The sequence below is a fragment of the Homo sapiens genome, chromosome 5 (assembly GCF_000001405.40).
Source record: "Homo sapiens chromosome 5, GRCh38.p14 Primary Assembly".
Taxonomy (NCBI): Eukaryota; Metazoa; Chordata; class Mammalia; order Primates; family Hominidae; genus Homo; species Homo sapiens.
The window spans coordinates 110514403-110538746 of record NC_000005.10 but is presented as its reverse complement, the minus strand read 5'-3'; the positions used below and the strand labels follow the sequence as shown (position 1 = coordinate 110538746).

The 24344-nt window shown below is 37.3% G+C and overlaps 1 protein-coding gene across 22 annotated transcripts in view, besides 1 other annotated feature; it reads left to right on the top strand.

Annotated features, from left to right (window-relative positions):
* The window catches only part of TMEM232 (transmembrane protein 232), a 351524-nt gene that overhangs the window by 200208 nt on the left and 126972 nt on the right, over positions 1-24344 (top strand). For 15 of the 22 annotated variants that reach the window (XR_001742181.2, XR_007058620.1, XM_047417493.1 and 12 more), the window contains one exon: positions 9912-10159. The exons of the other annotated variants lie outside the window; for them this stretch is intronic. Coding sequence is in view for 13 of the 15 variants with exons in the window: in XM_047417493.1 (XP_047273449.1) it covers positions 9912-10159 (248 nt within the window). In the remaining 2 variants the exon portion in view is untranslated. The remainder of the gene's footprint in view (positions 1-9911; positions 10160-24344) is intronic. 22 annotated transcript variants of the gene reach the window in all.
* Positions 1466-2314: an enhancer, noted in NCBI's record as "OCT4-NANOG-H3K27ac-H3K4me1 hESC enhancer chr5:109872134-109872982 (GRCh37/hg19 assembly coordinates)". NCBI's record gives its function as "activates a minimal SCP1, AML or CMV promoter by ChIP-STARR-seq in primed H9 embryonic stem cells {active_cell/tissue: H9 hESC(primed)}" and the evidence as "EXISTENCE:reporter gene assay evidence [ECO:0000049][PMID:30033119]".

Here is a 24344-nt window from a genome sequence, read left to right as displayed (position 1 = left end):
GGACAGGGGCAGTGAGGAAGACCCCAGGCCCCTTCGGTCTTCAGTCTTCATCTAATTCCTGCTTTTGCACTGCTAGAGTTTTGCCTGACTGAACCCCTTGGTGGGAGCAGGGGCAGTCAATCCTCCAGTGACAGGGTTTGTAACTGGTGCCCTCACATTTTTGACAGGGGCCTGGTGAGGGCTTAGTACAGTCCTTTGCCCAATGCTCATTGTTCTTGCATTTGAAGCAAGAGCCTTTGATGGCATTATCATTATGGCCCTTCAGGTTTCCCTTAGCTGCTCTTTGGGCATTCAGGGTATTGCCAATGATGGCTGCCATAATTTTTGCCTGCCATTTTTCTTCACTCTGTTCCTGTTTTCCTTCCTCCAGGTCACAATTGTTATACACCATAACAGCAGTATCAAAAACCTGATTTTGATTACTGCGTGGCCCCATCAGTAGCTTTTGGAGCTTAAGTCTAATGTCCGTGGTGGATTGGCTAATGAAATGCTGTGCCATTAATATTTTGCCTTTGGAAAAAGAAGAGTCCAGAGTAGTATATTTTGTAAAGACTTCCTCCAGCCTGCCATAAGTCCATGGCTGGATTGTCCTCCTTGGCTTGTGTAACCCCCCTTAATTTACATTATTTACTGCCTTAGTTATTCCCTTTCTCATTCCTCCAAGGAAAGCCTCAAGAAATTTAGCCCGGTTGTTCATTCCCATGGGGGTATTATAGTCCCAATTAGGATCAATAGTGGAGACTGTGTTTGGGCCCAAGTGATTGCCCTAAAGGATTCAGATGAATAAATCATCTGCTTCCCCATGGGCGGCCTCAAAGATTTCATCTTTTTTTCCAAGGGGGTGCAACAGGTTGCTAGAATGAATTGAACATCTCTCCATGAGAGAGCAACGGCTAAGGCCAAAGTTTGGAAAGCTTCCGCAAATTTCCTGGGATTCTTGAAATAGCTTTCTAGCTTTTCCTTACATTGTTGTATATCAGTTATAGAGAAGGGACCTGCACTAGGACTGGCCCCTCAGCTCTTGCTACTTCCCAAGGAGTAACAGGGCTGCAGGGAGAGTTAATACGATGTTCTCCTTTGAGTGTGAGGGGGACTTAGTAGGGTTCCCACTGTTTGGGGTTTAGCCTCAAGAGCACTTGGCAAGGGGCTGTATGGAGGCAGATGCTGTTCACCCTGAGAGACAGGTAGCCCTTGTAAAAGGAGGTCATCTGTAATATCTAGTTCTGCCTTAGGACTTTCCCTTGGGGGGCTGGTTCTGGGAGTTTTGCAGATTGTTAGGTTTTGGTATAGGGCCATGAAGGTCTGTACATATGGGATTTTGGACCATTTGCCGTGCATCTTGCAAAATAGATCTGATTGCAGGATGGTGTCATAATTAAGGCTACCATTGACTGCTCATTGTTCCAGGCTGGGCAGCTCATAATTGGGCCAAACAGCATTGCAGAAAAAAAAAAATATATATATATATAAGTTTTCTCTTTAGATTATCAGGGTCAAATTGATTCCAGTGGTGGAGGATGCAGCCAAGCAGGGAATCAGGTGGAATAGATGGAGGGTTGTCCATAGTGGAATCAGGTGGAATAGATGAAGAGTTGCCCATAGTGGTCTGGAAAAGAGAGGAGGACTTTGAATAGTGGAAGGTTTATCAAGTGACCCGAGTGATGCTTGAGGCATCCTGGAAAAATTCTAGGTCCTGACTGGAGTCCCCAGGGGCATTCACCTTTTGAGCCCTGTCTTAGTCTGTCAGACATCTCTGACGTTAGTTAGATGGGTGCTGGCACTGCTTTGGAATGGTTCCCTCCACCACTGATGACCCATTATGAGTGTTTCTTAAGGGCTTCCTATCCCACTTAAAGCAACCCTTTTACTCTCTAAATTTAGGCAAGAAATCCACATTAGATTGTACATCAGTTCCTGCATAAATTCCTTTTCATGAATGCCCCCCATGCCCCACACAGACCATCTACAACATTCCCAGACCCTCTGACTTGTCCTAAACATCCCATCCCTCTTTTTAAACAACCAGTCATCTATTTTCTTTATAACATTCTTTGCATAGCTAGGTGGGTTCCTTTTGTCTTTGACCCATCAAGTAGGGGAAGAGAAGAATTTAGCATGAAAAAAGAAGGCTCAAGTCACCTGAAATGTGTGTGAGTTCACTCTGGAGGAGCTGTTGCTGCCAATTGTGTCACATGTAGGAATCAGTGACTATAAGAAAAGAAGGTTTAAGTGGCCTGAAACGTGAGTTCACCCTGTACCACTGCCAATTGTGTCACACGTAGAGATCAGGGACTATAATCAGAAAAGATAGAAAAGAGTCCATCCTCCTTCCAGGCAAGGCAGCTATCCTCATTCACTCCTTGGCCTTCAGGCAACACCAGAGAGTGGCCCTGGCCAGTTGCCCTCAAATACCAAGGAGCTGCTAGGAAACAGCTGCTGAAATACTGAAAAAGAAAAAAAAGGCAAAGGGCTCAGTTCCCTTACTAGAACTGGGTGGTGGCAGTCAAGGGCTTCCACATGGAAACCTTTCCATTTCTCCAGAGATTGGCCCCAGCCGGAAACCTGCAGTTGCCTCTGTGTTTAGGCACTGCCTACCAAGGGTCCCACGTTGGAAAGGAAAAGACAGAAAAAGAGAGAACAAAAGACTCCCCTGTATGGAGCAGATAGCAAAAGGGGAAAGGAGAATAATAAATCCCAAATCCTATGCAAGTAAAGACTTAACCCACGATCAGTCTGATCGGTTGCAGGAAAGGATCAACCACAGGTACTTTCAGTTTTTCATCTGCCACACAGGAAAGTGGGGGTTGCAAGGAGAGTAGCTTCTGGTCCTTTTATAATTTGGGTGTGGAAAGTTGGCGTTTTGATTTTGATTTAGTTCTAGGAAGCCAGTGAGAATCGGCTTTAGGTTCCCTTTCTCCAGACCCTATTCTCCTGCCTCACAGATTAATGCTATCTTTGATTACAGTGTGTTTTACCAAAAATTATATCATGAGAAGACATCATTTTTTTGGTCCATTTGTTTACTCATTCATTTATTCGTTCATAACTCCCTTAGTAATTCCAGAGTTCACCATAATATCTTCATTTGTGCAATACTGTACTATATTTTGAGTAAAAAAAGGAGGAGCTCTTTTTTGGTGGTGTCATTAATTTTTAACATTTTATTTTTCTACAATGAAGAATAAAATTGTATACATTTACTGTGTAAAACATGATGTTTTAAAATATACACTTCATGCGCGTCCATGTGAAGAGACTACTAAACAGGCTTTGTGTGAGCAATAAAGCTTTTAATCACCTGGGTGCAGGCGGGCTGAGTCTAAAGAGTCAGCGAAGAGAGATAGGTGTGGGGCCGTTTTATAGGATTTGGGTAGGTAAAGGAAAAAGGGGGGTTGTTCTCTGGCAGGCAGGAGTGAGGGTCACAAGGTGCTCAGTAGGGGAGCTTTCGAGTCAGTATGAGCCAGGAGAAGGAATTTCACAAGATAATGTCATCAGTTAAGGCAGGAACAGGCCATTTTCACTTCTTTTGTGGTGGAATGTCATCAGTTAAGGCAGGAACCGGTCATCTGGATGTGTACAGGCAGGTCACAGGGGATATGATGGCTTAGCTTGGGCTCAGAGGCCTGACATTCCTATCTTCTTATATTAATAAGAAAAAACGAAATAGTGGTAAAGTGTTGGGACAGTAAAAATTTTTGGGGGGTGGTATGGAGAGATAATGGGTGATGTTTCTCAGGGCTGCTTTGAGCGGGATTAGGGGCGGTGTGGGAACTTATAGTGGGAGAGATTAAGCTGAAGGAAGATTTTGTGGTAAGGGGTGATATTGTGGGGTTGTTAGAAGAAATATTTGTCATTTAGAATTATTGGTGATGGCCTGGATATGGTTTTGTATGAATTGAAAAACGGAATAAGGAGAAAAACAGGTATAAAAGGTCTAAGAATTGGGATGACCTAGGACATCTGATTAGAGAGTGCCTAAGGAGATTCAGCATAGTCTTGCCAGCAAAGATTATTTATTTACTTTAAGAGTTAAGAGTGATAGTTTGGGGATAGCACCAGGAGATATCAGCTGTGATGGCTTGGAGAAACAGTGTAAACCAGCAGTGTAAACAAGAGCAGGGCATGTATGAGTAGTTGAGAACGGTGAATAGGAGTATGACTAGACAGAAGATAGTAGGGATGACAAGTTTTTTTGGGGCACAGTCTAAGTTGGTCTGGTGTCTGGAATGAGACTGGGGCCTAATAAAAAGGAGAGTCTATACAGGAGCTTAAATGGGCTGTACTTTGTAGCATTCTGAGGACAGGCCTGAATTCTGAGAAGGGAAAGTGATAAAAGTATTGTCTAGTCTTTTTTAAGTTGGTAGCTGAGCTTGGTGAGGTGTGTTTTTGAAAGACTATTAGTCTGTTCTACTTTTCTTGAAGACTGAGGACTGTAAGGGATATAAAGGTTTCACTGAATACTAAGCCTGAAAAAATGCTTGGCTGATTTGACTAATAAAGGCTGGTCTGCTATCAGACTGTATAGAGGTGAGAAGGCCAAACTGAGGAATTATGTCTGACAGAAGGGAAGAAATGACTGTGGTGGCCTTCTTAGCCTTTGTGGGAAAGGCCTCTACTTATCTAGTGAAAGTGTCTACTTAGACTAAGAGGTATTTTAGTTTCCTGACTTGGGGCATGTTGAGTAAAGCTAATTTGCCAGTCCTGGGCGGGGGCAAATCCTGGAGCTTGATGTGTAGGGAAGGGAGAGGGCCTCAATAATCCTTGAGAAGTAGTAGAATAGCAGATGGAACACTGAGAAGTTATATCTTTGAGGATAGATTTCTACGATGGAAAGGAACTGAGAGGTTCTAAGAGGCGGGCTAGTGGCTTGTACTATAGCATAGCCTGCCTTTGCTGGTGTGTGGCGATTAGGCCTGGTGGAACTGCCATTAATAAACTAAGTGTGATCAGGGTGAGGAACAGGGAAGAAGGAAATGTGGGGAAATGGGGTGAACGTCAGGAGATCAGAGAGATGCAGTCATGAGGTTCAGGTGTGGTATCAGGAATAATGTGGGAGGCCAGATTGAAGTCCGGGCCAGGAACAATGGTAATTGTGGGAGACTTAACAAAGAGTGAGTACAGCTGAAGGAGCCGGGGAGCAGAAAGTATATGCATCAGGTGTGAGGAAGAAAACAGATTTTGGAAGTTATGAGAAATGTAGAGTGAGTTGAGCATAGTTTGTGATTTTTAGGGCCTCTAAAAGTATTAAAGCAGCGGCAGCTGCTGCACACAGACATGAGGGCTAGGCTAAAACAGTAAGTCCAAGTTGTTTGGACAGGCTACAGGGTGCGGTCCTGGCTCTTGTGTAGGAATTCTGACTGCAGTAACTATGTCTAGGAAGGAAAGGAGTTGTTGTTTTGTAAGGGATTGAGGTTTGGGAGATTAATCGGACACGATCAGCAGGGAGAGCATGTGTGCTTTTATGAGAATTATGCCGAGATAGGTAACAGATGAGGATGAAATTTGGGCTTGACTGAAGTAATGGGGGCTGTCTGTGAAGCCTTGCGGCAGTACAGCCTAGGTAATCTGCTGGGACTGATGGATGTCAGGGTCAGTCCAGGTGAAAGCAAAGAGAGGCTGGGACGAGGGGTGCAGGGGAATAGTGAAAAAAGCATCTTTAAGATTAAGAACGGAATAGTGGGTTGTGGAGGAAGGTATTGAGGACAATAGAGTGTACGGGTTGGGCACCACAGGGTGGATAGGCAAAACAGTTTGGTTGATAAGGCGCAGATCCTGAACTAACTTGTAAACCTTGTCTGGTTTTAGGACAGGTAAAATGGGGGAATTGTAAGGAGAGTTTATAGGCTTTAAAAGGCCATGCTGTAGCAAGCGAGTGATAACAGGCTTTAATCCTTTCAAAGCATGCTGTGGGATGGGATATTGGCATTGAGCGGGGTAAGGGTGATTAGGTTTTAATGAGATGGTAAGGAGTGCATGATCGGTCGCCAAGGACGGGGTAGAGTTATCTTATACTTGTGTGTTAAGGTGGGGGGATACAAGAGGAGGATGCAAAGGAGGCTTTGGATTGGGAAGGGTAGCAATGAGATATAGCTGTAGTCCAGGAATAGTCAGGGAAGCAGATAATTTAGTTAAAAGTGTCTCAGCCTAATAAGGGAACTGGGCAGGTGGGGATACTAAAAAGGAGTGCTTAAAAGAGTATTGTGTAAGTTGGCACCAGAGTTGGGGAGTTTTAAGAGGTTTGGAAGCCTGGCCATCAGTACCCACAACAGTTATGGAGGCAAGGGAAACAGGCCTTTGAAAAGAAGGTAATGTGGAGTGGGTAGCCTCCGTATTGATTAAGAAGGGGACGGACTTACCTTCCACTGTGAGAGTTACCTGAAGCTCGGCATCCGTGATGGTCTAGGGGGCTTCTGAGGCGATCGGGCAGCGTCAGTCTTCAGCCGCTAAGCCGAGAAGATCTGGGAAGGAGTCAGTCAGAGAGCCTTGGGCCAGAGTTCCAGGGGCTCTGGGAGTGGCTGCCAGGTGAGTTGAACAGTCCGATTTCTAGTGGGATCCTGCACAAATGGGATACGGCTTAGGAGGAATCCTGGGCTGCGGCTATTCTTTGGCTTGGTGGCCAGATTTTTGGCACTTGTAGCAAGCTCCTGGGGGAGGAGGTTCTGGAGGAATGCCTGGCCGCTGCAGTTCAGGCGTTTGGAAGTTCTTGTGTGCTGGAGATATGGCTGGGGTTTGTCTCACAGTGGAGGCAAGGAATTGCAACTTTTTTCTGTGATTGTACACTTTGAAGGCAAGGTTAATTAAGTCCTGTTGTGGAGTTTGAGGGTCAGAATTTAATTTTTGGAGTTTTATTTAATGTTGGGAGCAGATTGGGTAATAAAATGTATATTGAGAATAAGACGGCCTTTTGACTTCTTAGGGTCTAGGGCTGTAAAGCATCTCAGGGTTGCTGCCAAACGAGCCATGAACTGGGCTGGGTTTTTATATTTGATGATAAAGAGCCTAAACGCTATCTGATTTGGGATAAAGAAAAAGGAGCATTAACCTTGACTATGCCTTTGGCTCCAGCCACCTTTTTAAGAGTAAATTGCTGGGCAGGTGGGGGAGGGCTAAAAGGAGACGAATAAAACATGTCTCCTTTGTCTCTGCCAGAAAATGAAAGTAATTGAAATTAAGAGAAGGGAGAGATTGAAGTGTGGCGCCAAGATTGAAAGGCGAAAGAGATTGAGGGATAGTGAGAGAGGTTGGAGAAGAGAGTAAAAAGAGGCCACTTACCGGATTTGAAATTAGTGAGATGTTTCTTGGGCTGGTCGGTATGAGGACCTGATAGGTGGATCTTTCTCACAGAGCAAAGAGCAGGAGGACAGGGGATTGATCTCCCAAGGGAGGTCCCCCAATCCGAGTCACAGCACCAAATTTCATGTGTGTCCGTGTGAAGAGACTACTAAACAGGCTTTGTGTGAGCAATAAAGCTTTTAATCACCTGGGTGCAGGCGGGCTGAGTCTAAAAAGAGAGTCAGTGAAGGGAGATGGGGTGGGGCCATTTTATAGGATTTGGGTAGGTAAAGGAAAAAGGGGGGTTGTTCTCTGGCGGGCAGAAGTGGGGGTCACAGGGTGCTCAGTAGGGGAGCTTTTGAGCCAGGATGAGCCAGGAGAAGGAATTTCACAAGATAATGTCATCAGTTAAGGCAGGAACAGGTCATTTTCACTTTTGTGGTGGAATGTCATCAGTTAAGGCTGGAACCGGCCATCTGGATGTGTACGGGCAGGTCACAGGGGATATGATGGCTTAGCTTAGGCTCAGAGGCCTGACAATACATACATTGTGAAATGGTCAAATTGAGCTAATTAACAAATAACCTCATATAGTTATTATTTCTTTTTTGAGAACATTTAACATCTACTCTCAGCATTTTTCAAGATATGATGTATTTGTATTAACTACAGTCACCATGTTGTACATTAGAGCTCTTGAATTTATTTCTTCTAACTGAAATCTTTTGACCAACATCTCCCCAGCCCTTCACCCGTCAGCCCCTGGTAAACACCATCCTACTCTACTTATATGAGATCAACATTTTAGATTTTACATGTAAGTGAGATCATGTGGTATTTGTCTTTCTGTGCCTGGTTTATTTCACTTAACATGATGTCCCCCAGGTTCATCCATGTTGTTACAAATGGTAGAATTTTCTTCTATTTTTATGGCTCAATACTATCCCATTGTGTATATATACCACATTTTATTTATCCATTCATCTGTTGATGGACACTTAGCTTGATTTCATAGCTTGGCTATTGAGAGTAATGTTGCAATAAACATGGCAGGGCAGCTCTCTCTTTGACGTACTGATTTTCTTTTGGATATACCCAGTAGTGGGATTACTGAATCACATGCTTGCTTACTTGCATGATTTTCACCTTATCCTTTGTAAATGTTTTTTTCCATGTTATTCTTTCCCATCCTCTATGACTTTCACAGTGACACATATTTGCATACCTGCCTTTTGCTATTTTTCTCATTACTTTAACTGTTTTTCGTTCAGTCTATATCCTGAGACTGTACTCATTTTCTCTACTATACTTTTGTCTAAATAATTCAATAATCAGTCTTTCGTCAGTAATTTAGCCAGGCCTAATTTTGGAACCTGAAAGAGGTTAAGTTAGATGTTCATGTACAGAAAAACATTTTCTATTTCTGTCTTTCCTATCGCAAGATTGATATGAATCTAAAATGAATCCTGAGTCACTAGTAATGAGCTGCCTGAAGACAGATAATACTCAATGAAAATGTAAAAACAAATGATAAAAGGCAGTATCCGACTTATTTACAAGAAAAGGAATTAATAGTATGTACATATCATGAACATAAAAAAGTTGTAACATATGCCCTTTTACTTACATTTTCATTTATTATTGCTGATTCCTGCCAGAGAAAATATGCCTCTGGCCACTTTAAAAGAAGTAAAGAAGAAGCAATCCTGGACATTATCAAACAGGAAAAGGAAATTTCAGAAAATAGCCTTTTCCTGAATAAATATTGCTTAAATAATGGGAAATTTTGGTATTTTTTTTACATTTTGATTTTAGAACATATTCAATTTAATCAAAATCAAAATCTTAAACATCGTCAATTTAAGCTAAATACAAAGCTCTTATTTGCTTTTCACTTAAAATTTTTGCTCTATAAAAATGTTCTGTTTGGCCGGGCATGGTGGCTCACGCCTGTAATCCCAGCACTTTGGGAAGCTGAGGCAGGTGGATCACCTGAGGTCAGGAGTTCAAGACCAGCCTGTCCAACATGATGAAACCCCATCTCTACTAAAAATAACAAAAATTAGCCAGGAGTGATGGTCCATGCCTGTAGTCCTAGCTACTTGGGAGGCTGAGGCAGGAGAATCGGTTGAACCCAGGAGATGGAGGTTGCAGTGAGCCAAGATTGTGCCACTGCACTCCAGTCTGGGAGACACAGCAAGACTCTTTCTCAAAAAAGAAAAAAAAAATGCTCTGTTGATATCAAGAACAGTTTAGATTGTGCATTAAAAAAAAGTCTGATTTAATAAAATGTACATTACTTCAACTGATTGCTTAATTTCTTATTAAATAAAATTTCAGAATGCTTATGAAATTCTTACACGGCACGTATATCAAATTTAAAATAAAAATTACCTAACTAAATTTTCAAAATTTCAAGACTGGATGCATTAATGTTTATTTCACTGAAATTTGCTGTTTTGCTTTTTGAAGTCTTTTGGAAAACTGCAATTTTTTTATAAAGATTATTTTTACTTAACAGGAAAAATGCAATATTAGTCAAAGAAAATAAAGATACTTTAAAAAATTTAATAATACACGATTTTTTTTCTCCCATTTAATCCTGTTTCAACTGATTCCTTTCTCTTTTCTTTCAACAGGCTGAGTTAAATGACCCAACTGATCCTTTCACTAGATATAGTACAAATATTTCATCAAATGTAGGAGAAGAAGTTTTCTCCAAATATATTGGGTGGAGAATTGCCAACACTCTTTCCAAACTATTCTTTCCCCCCATTGAGGCCCATTTTCTTCCTTTGAAGAAACCATCAATAAAAAAGGATCAAACAAAATATCCAAATAAAAAGCTGGAGTCTGTGAAAAAGCAAGTTCTACATTTCACTGTAAGGTAAAGAGAAGTACTATCGGTTTTATTGTTCTAATACATTACAATTCAAAATCACAGAAATTATAGATAATTATGTGCCACATCATTTAACTCAGTTTCTCTTCTTCAATTCAAATTTTGGCTTGATCACCTCTTAGATGATCTATCATTGAGCTAGTTCCTCCCTTCTCAGAAACTCTTTTTTCATATTTATAATAGGTATTATTACATAATATAAATCAATATTAATGTAATTCTTGTGAGGTAAATACTAACTTAAAACAGAAACCAAATCATTCAATATTCAAAATTTTAAGACCCTATTTTATGTTTATATACATACATATATATACATATTTGATATGTATTTTACATATCTAAGTTAGAGTCTTGAACATAGTAAGACTTCAAAAACTGGTAGTTATGAGGCTAATTAGATTTTATGTTTCAACTCCTATAAATTTATTTCAAAGGACTCCGGGAAACATTGGACTTAGGAACAATTTATTAAAGTGAATAATTTTCAGATTTATTTACCATTTCTTCAATGGTAGATTTCTTTCAGATTCTTAGGCTCCCTGTTACCATTTTAACATACACAGAATGTTAAGATGTTAAAAGTCACTTTTAGACAGATTTTAAAAATAGATGAAAAATCACTCCTGATATATAACACAGGCCCTATTTTACATTGTAGATCTCTTAGTAAAGCTTTAATCAAGACAGAAACTTTTATTTACTTTTTAACCCAAGTCATTTGAAGAATATATTGTTATATTTTTTCTAGTAATTTTAATACATTTACTATAAAGTCAGCTTTCCTTGTATTTTTAATAATTCATTTTTTGATATGTTCAGTGCTCTATTGAGCAATTCATTCCTGATAGGCTGTGATTGATTGATTAATAGATTGCACACTGATTTTGATTTTGCCATTCTGGATTTTTGTTGTTGTTGTTCATTGTACCTGCTATATATTGTTTTATACATTACATCTGATTGGCTTTGCCTTTGTGTCTTTTTACAACCTAATGTAAGAGCCTTTTGTTCCTGGCTTAGAGGAATTTAACCCAGTGGATAAACTTACCTGGACTAAATAGTTGCTGAAAATGCATCTGTAAATTTAAACTTAACTGTAAATTTTATTCAATTCCTGAATATATACTTTCTTATGTATTTATTATTTATTTTTCACTTGACTAAGGTATTATCAAGCGTTTTAAATACCTGCTCCATATTTGAAAATATGTTGTATTTGCCTCCACAAATGAGAAGTAATTTGGATTAATATGTAAACTCACTTATCCTTTATAACTATTGCCACAGTATATTACTGTGTTTGCAAAGTCTAGTATAATATGTGATTCTCTTTCCTTTGTATGATCTCTCCACTTTAAGAAAACTTGTACATATTATCTTTCACAAAAAATGCTCCAAATTTCTATACATTAAAGTTAGAAAGTTAACTTTCTTTAGATTATAGACCCTTCTTTCCCTGATTTACCCCCCATCCCTCCCTATCCTCGGTAATAACATCAGTAATTTCTTGTGTATCCTTTCAGGGTCTATAAAATGCAAATATAATACATTATTAGTGTTTTTAATTTTTCCCCCTTCATTTTAAAATGAAAATTAGCATAGTAAACATAATATTTGGCATCTTGCATTTGTCATTTAGCCTCATTTCAGATAAATTTTTCCATTCCAGTACATGGAGAATTTTCTAGTTATTATCATTTTTTAAACAAGTTTTCCTTATTATGGATATATCATAATTTATTTAACCAATTTTCTATTGGTTGGCCTTTGGGTTGTTTTAGATTTCTTGTGTACTAGACACAATGCCACAAAGAATAACCATTTACATATGTCTTTTAACATGTGGAAGAATACTTGCAGGATAAATTCTCAGAAGTGTAATTTCTGGGTCAAAGTATATATGCCTTTGTAATGTTGTTACATATTTCCAGTGCCTTTCAGAGGAGTTGTGCAAGTTTATATCCTCACCAGTAATATATGAGTGCCTGTTTTTCTTTAGTCTTCCCAACGGAGGGTGTTGACAACATTTGGGTTTTAACAATCTGAGAGGTAAAATATGGTTTCTAAATACAGTGTAATTTTTAGCATTTTAATTTTCTTAAGGTAAGTAGTTTGAACACCTTTCATATGTTTACAGAGCCTTTTGTTTTTTCTTTATTTGGAAATTATTTTTTTTGCCCATTTTTTACTGGATTTTTGTCTATACAAAAACCTGGGACTATATATCTATTAATCTATGCGACTCTCTGTCTATGGTAAGAGCTACAAATACTTATTGTTTCTCATCTTTTTTTTTTAATTTTGCTTATAGCATTTTTTTGCCGTATAGTCATTTTTCTTTGTAATAGAATGTATTTATTAATTTTCCTCTGTGGTTTATGGATTTTTTTGTTCTATTTATGAAAAGTCTTTTTCACCCTAAGATTAAAAATGACAGAATTTGACAAAATGTGACCAATATTATCTTTTACTATTTTTAAGGATTTGTTATGTACATTGTAAGTATTGGTCTGTTTGAATTTTTTTTTTTTTTTTTTTTTTTTTGGTGTATGGTGTGAGGTGTAGATCCATCTGCCTATTCACTTGTCTCAAAAATATTTATTGCGTCATCCATCTTCCCTTAACAATTTTCCTGATTTTAATTGCCAACTTTTTCAAATACTAAATTCCCATTTCTTTTTTTGTCTAATTCTGAATTTTTTATTCTAGTCCTTTATTCTAAGCTATTCTAACCATAAGCCTATATTTGGACTGTATAATACATTTTAATATATAGTTTTAATTATTTTCTTATATATTTATGTAATTGGGCTAGTTCTATATTGCCAGTGCTTTTCAATGTTTTCCTAGCTATTTTGTTTATTCATTTTTATATCAAATTTAGAATTAGCTTGTCTACTTCTAACAATCTAGTTGTAAATTTACTTGCATCACTTAAAAAAATTAACTTTAGAAAAATTAACACTCCATAATGTTGAGATATAGTATCTCTAACAATATGGCATGTATTTCCATTTATTCAGTATTGCTTTTGAGTTCTTCAGTAGTGTTAAAATGTTTTCATATATGCCTTGCATTTTTCTTATGTTTATTTATAGGTACTTTATCTCTTTTGTTGCTAATATAAATTAATTTTTGCTCCAAATGTAGCTTCTCCTAGGTTGCCCTTATATATTTTCAAAGCTATTGCTTTCTGTGGATTAATTTTGCACTCTACTAACTTGGTAAATTCAGTCATTGAATTTAAGTTTTCTAGATTCACAATTCTGTCAGATATAAATAATTTATTTTCTCTTTCCTGATTTTTATACTTTAGCCCTTTTCCTTTTATGTATTTTATCAGCTGAGTATGCCTAGTAAAATATTGATTAAAAATAGTGAGGATGGGCTTTTTTTTTTTTCTTATTGTTACGAAGAAATCTTCTAGTGTTTTCCAGTTAATCATGATGCTGGCTTTAGGAATGAGAAAGATGTATTTTATTATTAAGCAGTTTTATATTAAAAAATTGGGCTGTTTATAAGAAACTCATTTTAGATTTAAGGACATGTAGGCTAAAATTGAAGATATGGAAAATGACATTTCTTGCAAATGCTAACCAAAGGAGAGCAGGTGTGGCTATACTTACATTAGATAAAATAGACATTAGGTGAGAAAGTATTGCAAAAAACAGAGATCATTATATAATGATAAAAGGATGAATTAACTAGAAAGATATAACAATTATAAATATATATGTACCCAACATAAGAGCATCTAAATATATAAATCAATATTGACAGAATTGGAGAAATAGACGGCAATACAAAATAATAGAAGATATCAATACCCCACATTCAATAATGGATAAAACAAGCAGATAGAAGAACAATAAGCAAACATTGAGCTTGAACAACAGTATAGACCAAATGGACCTAATGGACATAAAGGATATTCCTTCGACCCAACAGCAGCAGCATACACACTCATCTCACGTGCCACAGAACTTTCTCCAGCATAGATCACATGTTAGGTCACAAGCAAGTCTTAACAAATTCAAAAAGATAGAATTATATCAAGTTTATCTTCCAATCAAAAACATTCACAAATATGTAGAATTTCTTTCTTTCTTTTTCTTTCTTTCTTTCCTTTCTTTTCTTTTCTTTTCTTTTCTTTTCTTTCTTTCTTTCTTTCTTTCTTTCTTTCTTTCTTTCTTTCTTTCTTTCTTTTTTTCTTTCTTTCTTTCTCTTTCTTTTTCTCTCTCCCTTCCTTCCTTCCTTCTTTCTTTTTATTTCTTTCTCCCTCTCTCTCTTTTCCTTTTTTTTTTTTTTTGAGACTGAGTCTCGTTCTGACGCCCAAGCTGGAGTGCAGTGGTGGATCTCAGCTTACTGCAACCTCCACCTCCTGGTTCAAGCAATTCTTATGCCTCAGCCTCCCGAATAGCTGGGACTACAGGCACGCACCACCATGCCTGGCTAATTTTTGTATTTTCAGTAGAGACGGCGTTTCACCATATTGGTCAGGCTGGTCGCGAACTCCTGAACTCGTGATCCACCCGCCTCAGCCTCCCAAACTGTTGGGATTACAGGCGTGAGCCACCAGGCCCAGCCCCCCCGCCCCCCCCCCTTTTTTTTTTTTTAAACCAAGTCTTTGTCACCCAGGCTAGAGTTCTGTGGCAGACATGACTCACTGCAGCCTTGACCTCTTGGGCTCAAGCAATATTCCCACCTCAACCTCCTGAGTAGCTGGGACCACAGGTGCATGACACTACACTCAGCTAGGTTTTTTAAAAAATTTATTTTTGTAGAGACAGGGCCTACTTATATTGCCCAGGGTAGTCTCAAACTCCTGGGCTCAAGCAGTTCTCCTCCTTTTACCTCCCAAACTGCTGGGATTATAAGCATGATTCGCCATTCCAGGTCTTTATGTAGAAAGTAAACAACACACTTTTGAGAAGCCCTTGTTTCAAAGAATAATTTTTTTAAAATTAGGCAATACCTTGAGTAAAATGAAAATGAAAACAAAACATACTAAAACTTATGGATGGAGCAAAAGCAGTACTAAGAGGGATATTTATTTTTGTTAAATGCATTAAAAAAGAAAAATCTCAAATAAACAACCTAAATTTACACCTCAAGGACCTAGAAAAAGAAGAAAAAATTAAGCTCAAAGTTAGCAGAAGGAAAGAAATAACAAGATTAGAGCAGAAATAAAGGAAATAGATGATTTTCAAAACAAAGAAAGAGTCAAAAGTTAGTTTTTTTAAAAGGTGAAATTGTCAACCTCTTGGTATTCTAAGAAAAGGGAGAGAAGATGAAAATGAATCAGAAATGAAAGAAGAGACGCTACAGTTGATGCCACAGAAATATAAGGATCATAAGAGACACCTATGAACAATTACATGCCAATAAACTGGAAAACCCAGAAGAAATGGATACATTCCTAGAAACATAAAACCTACCAAGTCTAAATTATATAGTAATACAAAGTCTGAACATACTTATAACTACTATGGAGATTGAATCAGTAAATAAAAAACTTCCCAGTGATGAAAAGCCCTTGCCCAGTAGCTTCATTGGTGAATCCTACTAAACATCTGAACAATTAAAGCCAACATTTCTCAAGCTCCTCCAAAAATTGAAGAGGAGGGAAAGCTTCCAACTAGTTTAAGTGACCAGCTTTATCCTGATACCAAAGCCAGACAAAGACACCACAGGAGAATTATACACCAATAACTTTTATGAATATAGATGCAAAAATCCTCAACAAAATAGTAACAAACAGAATCCAGAAGCATCTTAAAATAATCATACATCATGACTAAAGGGGTTTTATCCCTGCGATGCAAGGAGGACGGTTCAACATACAAAAATCAATTAATGTTATATACTACATTTACAGAATGAAAAATAAAAATTACGTAATAATCTCAACAGGTGCTGAAAAGGCATTTGACAATATTCAACACCATTTTATGATAAAAACTGTCACCAAATTTAGAAATAAAAGGAATATACCTCGACATAATAAAGGCCATATATGTAAAGTCCACAGCTAACATCATACTCGATAGTGAAAAACTGAATGTTTTCCCCCTAAGATCAGAAATAATACAAGGATTCCATTCTTGCTATTTCTGTTCAAAACAAGAAGTCCTAGCTTGAATAATTAGACAAGAAAAAATAAAAGGCATCCATATCAGAACGTAAGAAGTAAAACTGTCCCTGTTTTCAGGTGATATGACCTTATATATATGTAACCCTAGAGACTCCACCAAAAAACTGTTAGAAGTAATAAATGAATTCAGTAAAGTTGCAGGATACAGAGTCAACAAATAAAATCTGTTACATATCTGTACACTAACAGTGAGCTATACGATAGATAAATTAGGAAAACAGTTACATTTACAATAGTATGAAAAAGAATAAAATACTTGGAAATAAACTTAAATAAGGATGTAAAAGACTTCTAGATTGAAAACTACAAAACCTTGGTGAAATAAAGAATACATAAATGAATGGCATTTTGTATTCATGTGTTGAAAGAATCTTGCTAAAATGTTCACAGATTCAATGCAATCAAAATCACAATGGCATTTTCTAAATAAATAGAAATAACAATTCTGAAATTCATATGGGAACACAAAAGATTGTGAATAGCCAAATCAATCTTGAGAAGGAAGAATATACCTGTAGGCATCACACTTTCTGATTTCAAAATACATTACAAAGCTACCATAATTAAAAGAGTATGGTATTAGCATAAAGACAGATGTATAGGCTAAATGAAACAGAATAGAGGGACCAGAAATAAATTCATGACCAGAAATAAATGGTCAATTGACCATTGACAAGGTTTCCAAGAATATATAACAGAGAAAGAAGATTCTCTTCAATAAATGGTGCTAGGAAAGCTGGATATCCACATGTGTAAGAATGAAATTGAACTCTTACACCAAGCACAAAAAGCAGATCCAAATGGATTAAAGACTTAAATTAAGTAAGACATGAAACTCTAAAAATCCTAGAAAGCAGCAAAGGAGGAAAACTTCTTGACGTTGATCTTTACAATGTTTTCTTGAATATGACACCAAAACTCCGGGTGACAAAAACAATTAGACTACATCAAACTGAAAGTCTAATGCAAAGCAAAATAAACAATCAACAAAGTTAAAAGTCATCCTACAGATTAGGAGAAAATATTTGCAAACCATATATATGACAAAGGTTTAATTTCCAAATATATAAGGAATTCCTTCAATTCCATAGCCAAAAAAACTCTCAGGTCTACTAAAAATAGGTTAAAAACTTGAATAGATAGTTTTCTAAAGAAGACATACAATTGGCAGTAAGTGTATATGACAATGTTCAATGTCAGTAATCATCAGGGTATTCCATGAGAGAGAAAGGTCTTGGGGGATGAGAGGTCACCTGAAGAGAAAGGCCACATAGAAAAGAATCAGTGCCCCAGCTGGCAGCCCACAACAAGGCCTTAGACATACTAGGACGCCATCTTGGACCATACAGCCCAGCCCAGCTCTCAGCTTAATGCACCCGCATGAATGAGCTCAGCCAATACTGTTTAGTGTGTAGATTAGCAATCCCCAGTGAGCCCTACCCAAATTCCTCACCCACAGAATTGGAACAGCAGATCATTATTCTATTATTATTTTTTGAAATGGAGTTTTGCACTTATTACCCAGGCTGTAGTGCAATGGTGCGATCTTGGCTTACCACAACCTCTGCCTCTTGGGTTCAAGAGATTCTCCTGCCTCAGCCTCCTGAGCAGCTGGGATTATAAGCATACGACACCATGCCTGGCTAATTTTGTATTTTTAGTAGAGATGGGGTTTCTCCATGTTGGTCAAGTTGGTCTCGACCACCGATCTCAGGTGATCCACCCGCCTCGGCCTCCCAAAGTGCTGGGATTACAGGCATGAGCCACCATGCCCAGCCCATTATTATTTTAAGTCACTAAATTTTGGGATGTTTCTCAAGCAGCAATACAGGATGGAACAAAACTCTTCTTAATTATTATATAATAGTCTAATAGTGTCCTGTTAGATCCTCTTGTTAATGATTGATCTAGAAATTTTTCATCAGTAGTCTTAAGTAATATTTGTTTATAATTGTGTATGTCTTTTTTAATCTTTGTCACGTTTTGCTATCATTGTTATTCTTTGGAAGTTTTCTTTTTTTTCTGTGTTCTAAAATAATTTCAGAAGTTCAGAATGATCTACTCTTTGAAGCTATGGTAGAATTCCCTCTTTTTAAATTTTTAATTATTATGAATACATACTAGCTGTACATAATTAATGGAGTATGTGTGATATTTTAAAACAAGCATACAATATGTAATGATCAAATCAGAGTAATTAGAGTATCTGTCACTCTAATAATGTGTCATTTCTTTCTGTTAGGAACATTCCAACTCCACCCTTTTATTTTGAAATATACAATAAATTATTAACTGTAGTTACCCTATTGTGCTACTGAACATCAGATCTTACTCCTCCTACCTAATCCTCTCTCTCTCTCTCTCTATATATATATATACATAAATATATAAAACCATTAACCCTCTTCTCTTTATCCCTCCCTCCCTCTTCACTCTTCACTACTCCTCCTGACTTCTAGTAGCCATCATTCTATTCTCCATCTCCATGAGTTCAATATTTATTCAGCTTCTGAATATGAATGAGAACATGTAGTATTTGTCTTTCTGGCCTGGCTTATTTAATTTAACATAATATCCTCCGGTTCCCTCCATGTTGTTGCAAATGACAGGATTTCATTCATTTTTATAGGTGAATAATATTACATTGTGTATATATACCACATTTCCTTTATTTGTTCATCTATTGATGGACATTTGGGTTGATTCCAAATTTTGGCTATTGTAACAGTGCTGTGATAAACATGGGAGTGCAATATTCCTTTGATATACTGATTTTCTTTCTTTTGGGTATATGCCCAACAGTGGGATTGATGAAACATACAGTGGTTTTGTTTTTGTTTTTTTGAGGAACCTCCATACTGTTCTCCGTAGTGGCTGTACTAATTTATATTTCTTCCAACAATCCACAAGTGTTCCCCTTTCTCCACATCCTCACCAACATTCATCATTACCTGTCTTTTGAATAGAAGCCATTTTACGTGGGATGAGATGATATCTCATTGTCATTTTAATTTGAATTTCTCTGATGAATAGTGATGTCGAACATTAATCATCAGTACCTTATGCTTCTTCTAAGGTAATTCTTTGTCAAATTTTTATTTTTCCCATGGCTGTTGACAAGATTGATATTCAGCCCAAATGCACATGTACGGCTACATTCTGTTTTGATTGTTGGAAGTCCTGCCTTAAAATCATCTAGAATATCAATCCTGAATATCAGTCTATTTAGATCTTTCTCTTTCTTAAGTCAATTTTTAAAAATTATATTTTCTTTGAATATTATTTATTTCATCCCATTTTTCAGAATTTATTTGGCCATAATTGAACAACGTAGTCCATTGTGGTCCTGTAATTATTTCTGTTTCTGTATTATTCTGCCCTTAACCAATTCTTATTTTGTGTATTTGAATTTTTTTCTTTTTATTCACCTTAGCTAGTTTAGCTAGATGCTAAATCTATTTTATGTGTTTTTTTTTTCAATGCACCAGCTTCTAGATTCTAACTCATATATTTTTGTGCTTATTTATATGAGTTTGTTACTTCTTTGGTCTATTTTGTGGTTCATTTTCTAATTTCTTGAAGAAGGTGCTAAATCATGTGGGAAAGTTTCTTCCTTGGCATTTGTCTAAATCATTATTTAAGTTCCAAAATCATATGAGTGTTGCTGCCAAAAGGCAAACTTTATTGCAGCTGTAATAATTGAGTGCAGCAAGCCTGGTGGGCAGGCTTTCCTTTGTGTACACAAATGGTCAACAGAAAAATGCTTGAGTTTTGAAATCGTTTTAAGCATTTTTTTTTCAAGAATTCTAAAATCAGTGAGGAAGACATATAGATTTGGGGTTAAGGATCACACAGGCTGGCTTTAGTAGTCTTGTGTGCAGAAATAAATATTGCAAAAATACTTTAGTGTATTTCATACATTTTTGTTAAATTGTAACACAATCAAGATACAATGAAAATGTCAGTTCTAAGTGGCCTGGGTATTGGAATGTAGAGTCTCCAGATGCATTCTGTGTATTCCGAAGGACAGACATGGAAGAATAATTTGTCTGGAGCCACAGAGAGGATATTGAAGTGTACTTTGGTTTTGTGTCATGGACAGTTGAAGAAAGGAATAGCAAAAAATAAACTGGAAAAATAGAAAAAAAATCAATGTTAACAAAAGCAGATTAAGAAAAAGCAAGGGAAAGTGTATACAGATGATGATAAAAAGCCAGATGGAGATCAATAGTGCCTGCTGGGACACAAGAGATGAAAGAGAGACAGAGAAAGAGAGAGAGAGAGAGAGAGAGTAGACATAGAGGAAATATGTGAAAAAATAGCAAATGGAGAAATAAGAGCAATAAGCAGAAATAAAGTTGAAAGATAACAAAAGGAAAGAGAAAAGATATGAGGGAAGAGACATACTGAGGATGAAAGGTACAAATAAAAGGATGTGCACAGGGTTAGGGAGAAGGGAAAGACAATATGCAAAGTTAGAGAAGAGTGAGACAAAAAAGGAGCAGGTGGGGTTAAGACCCAAAAAGTCCTGTAGGCTTTGAGGGATTAGTAAATTAAACTTCTCTTTCAGAGCCTGCAGTTCATTAAATAAATGGCAATCATACATCACTGGTCTTAGAAAAAATGCTATCTGCTTATCCAGTTTTTCACAGTTCATTGCAGACTCCAGCAATTAAATTTAGAATGTCTCCTCCCCAAATGAGAATGTTTCAGCAGCACAGCAAGCTGAGACTTCCTCTAGCAAGAGTTACCTCAGTGTTGTTTCATGGAGCAGCATTCCCACTGCACCATTCACATAGTCTATGTGAATGTGACTCCCTGCAGTTGTGCATACTGTCAGCTCCAGTTAGGGGCTAATCTCTGGGTAAAACAGAGGTGAGTGGAATGGAGCTACAGCTTGGTGACAACAAGGCAAGCCTAGATCAGGCCTGGCTAAACAGTATTTTCTGTCTTATTAGGAGTATGGATTATACCTGCTTTTTTATAAGTTGTGTAAAAGCAAATTTAAATCTAAGCTATGCATTGAAGAAATTTCTCTGGTTGACTAAACATTAACTTCAGGAAATTGTGTTTCATCCTTTTGCTTGATTCTCCGTCTAAAGAAAAGTTCCATAGCTAGCTCCTTTTGTTAGTTCTTCTCCTCCAGCTTCTAGGCTCCCAAATCGAATTAATAGAGTGAATCAACACCTGAGCATGCTGAAACCCCACAGGTCTAAATACAAAGACATAATTTAAATCATACAGTTCTTTTTCATCCCTGAAAGGTCTTTATTCATAGTACCACATCACCGATTCCTCATTTAGCGTGCCTATATATCTCCATTTTGTGTTTTCAACAAGTGGAAATGTGAAAGACGGCAAGAAGCCAACATATAAGGACTCCTATAGAAGGTGGGGCACATTTAAAAGGGCAGAGAACAGGAAAATTAAGACAATGTTTCTTTATTGTCTGGGAGGACTAGAGCATGCTTGTTTCAGTGTGAAAATCTGAAAATTTTCTAGAAAGGAGGAGATGAGAACTTCCTTGTTAATGAAGTATCTGCTACATCTTATGACCCATAATTTTTTCCAAAAAAAATTTCCTTGTGTTTTTAGCCTATAGATTATTTTTAAAAATAATTTTGTCTTTAATTTGTCTATGAACACATGTTTTGCTCTGAATGGCTTGCAGGTTTGACTTTTTTTCTTTATGTAATTTTTCAGAAGAAAATTGATCATTTTGCTTTTGTATGTTGAATGTTTTTTACTTTTCTTTAAGCTGGTGGAACATGTTGTTGGATGCATGCTCTTTTTGCCCCTCAGCATTTTTTTAAAAATATGAAAAAATCATTATGGTTCTTTATCATAAAAGTTGTAGACCAAAAAAATAGGTATGTAATAGTTCTACTTCAAAGCATAGTATTTCTCTTTTCTCTATTTGTCAGTAAAACGATCTCAAGTTTACCTTAAGGCTGAGAATTTAGAACTATGAAGATCAAATTTTAAAAACCCAATTCCCACATCTATACTTTGTTACTTCTGAGGTTTCTCATAAGTGTATTTTCTAAGCTTATGCCTCGAATCTCTAAAATCTTATAAACAACTAATTATTTGCATATGTATAAAGACTAGGAGAACATTAACAAAACTTTATTCATGCTTAGTTTGTTCAAAAAAAATTTTTTTTTTGGGCTGCGGGGGACAGAGTCTTCCTCTGTTGCCCAGGCTGAAGTGCAGTGGCGCGATCTCGGCTCACTGCAAGCTCCGCCTCCCAGGTTCACGCCGTTCTCCTGCGTCAGCCTCCTGAGTAGCTGGGACTACAGGTGCCTGCCACCACGCCCGGGTAATTTTTTGTGTTTTTAGTAGGGACTGGGTTTCACCGTGTTAGCCAGGATGGTCTCGACCTCCTGACCTCGTGATCCGCCCGCCCTGGCCTCCCAAAGTGCTGGGATTACAGGCGTGAGCCACCGTGCCCGGCCTCAAATTTTTATGTTAAAGAATATTCATCAAACTAGCACCTGGAAGAAAGCCCAGGTAGTGCTAGTAAGAATGAACTGAGAACATTTGTTGTCATTTAGGCAGAAGATTTTACACAGCTGACTTTACAGGAAGGGCATACCCAAGGCTAGTGCTCCTCCTCTGCAGCTTCCTTTATAAAAGGAGCTGGTGCCGTAGTAGTAGAAGCAGGAGTAGCTAACATTTACTGAATGGTGCAAAGATGGGAAAGGTAAGTGCTATAATGCCCCATGAAATAGGTTAAGAATAGGCTTTACTGGAGAGGCTTAGAAGTCAACCGTTAGCAGAAAGAAGTACATGGTTTACATTTTGAATTATCCCATTGATTAGGGGTGCTGGAGTTTGGGGAAGCATTTGGACATTCATTGGGTTTGTATTTCAAAGGGATAGTGCCTGACTGCTACTCTACCTTCTTATAAGAGTGTAAACTCCTTTTCAGTGGAGAAATGTTTTTGGCTCAGTTATCAAACCATCATGAATCAGTTAGGTATCATCTAAGGGACGGGATGATGGAAATGCCAGCTGCCCAGAACCTGGAGGCCTTAAGAGGTGCTCTTAATGGTTGTAAAGAAAGCATTGAATCATTGGGAAGTTGGGTTTAGGAGAAGAAACTCCACAAAGTGGGAGATTCTTAAGACCCTCAGTTCTAGGTAGCATTTTGCCAGACAATCCAAGATGATCAATTTTGTTTGCCACACCACATGAGTGCATTTTATAAGCAAGGCACTATGTGAAGTACTACCCTTAGATGGAGTTATGATTATTTCCTTCATTTATAGACATGGATATTGAGTTTTGATGAGGTTAATTAGTCCAAGGATTTGCAACCATAAGTTCAGAAATTTGAATTTAAACAAAGGCATTCTGACTCTTGTGTTCACTGTGCTGTTTTCTTCTCCCTCATATGAACTTTATCTGATACCTAAGCCTTGAGCAATTGTTTAAAAATATGTTCAAACAATTCTTTTTCAATTTCTGCCGTATGATTTTTAGAACTTGATTTTCATTAGTGAACTTATTTTTTCTAGGCCTTGAACCTCTCTACTTAATTTTAGGAAATTTATATCAAAGAAGAGTCACTTTCTAGTAAGTCTAGTAAGTACATATAGAGAGAGTTTAAATAGAAGAGGGCCCCCAAAATAGACTTGGCCTCTTAACTTAATATTGTCTGGGCTTGACCGTGCCCCTAGGATGCCTAAGTAAAATGTCTTAAACCAATCTGTCTTGTTCTGTTTCATGAAGGAAAAAAAATGTAAAAAGTCTGTGCCTCCTTCAGACTATGTGAAATATGCTTATTTTATAGGTTTTTTTTCTGATTGATTTAAAGTAAGTTACTTAACTTCTCTGAGCCTTAGGCTTCTGATCTTTAAAAATTAAAAAGCTATACATTGCTCTAAGCTTTGTCCTGAGGATATAGAAAAAGAAGGTAGATAAAGAGCCTGGACATGTCAGTTCCTTATCCTTTTGTTCCATAATTTACTAGATGTTCTAAAATATTTATTTTCTTTAGAATATAAT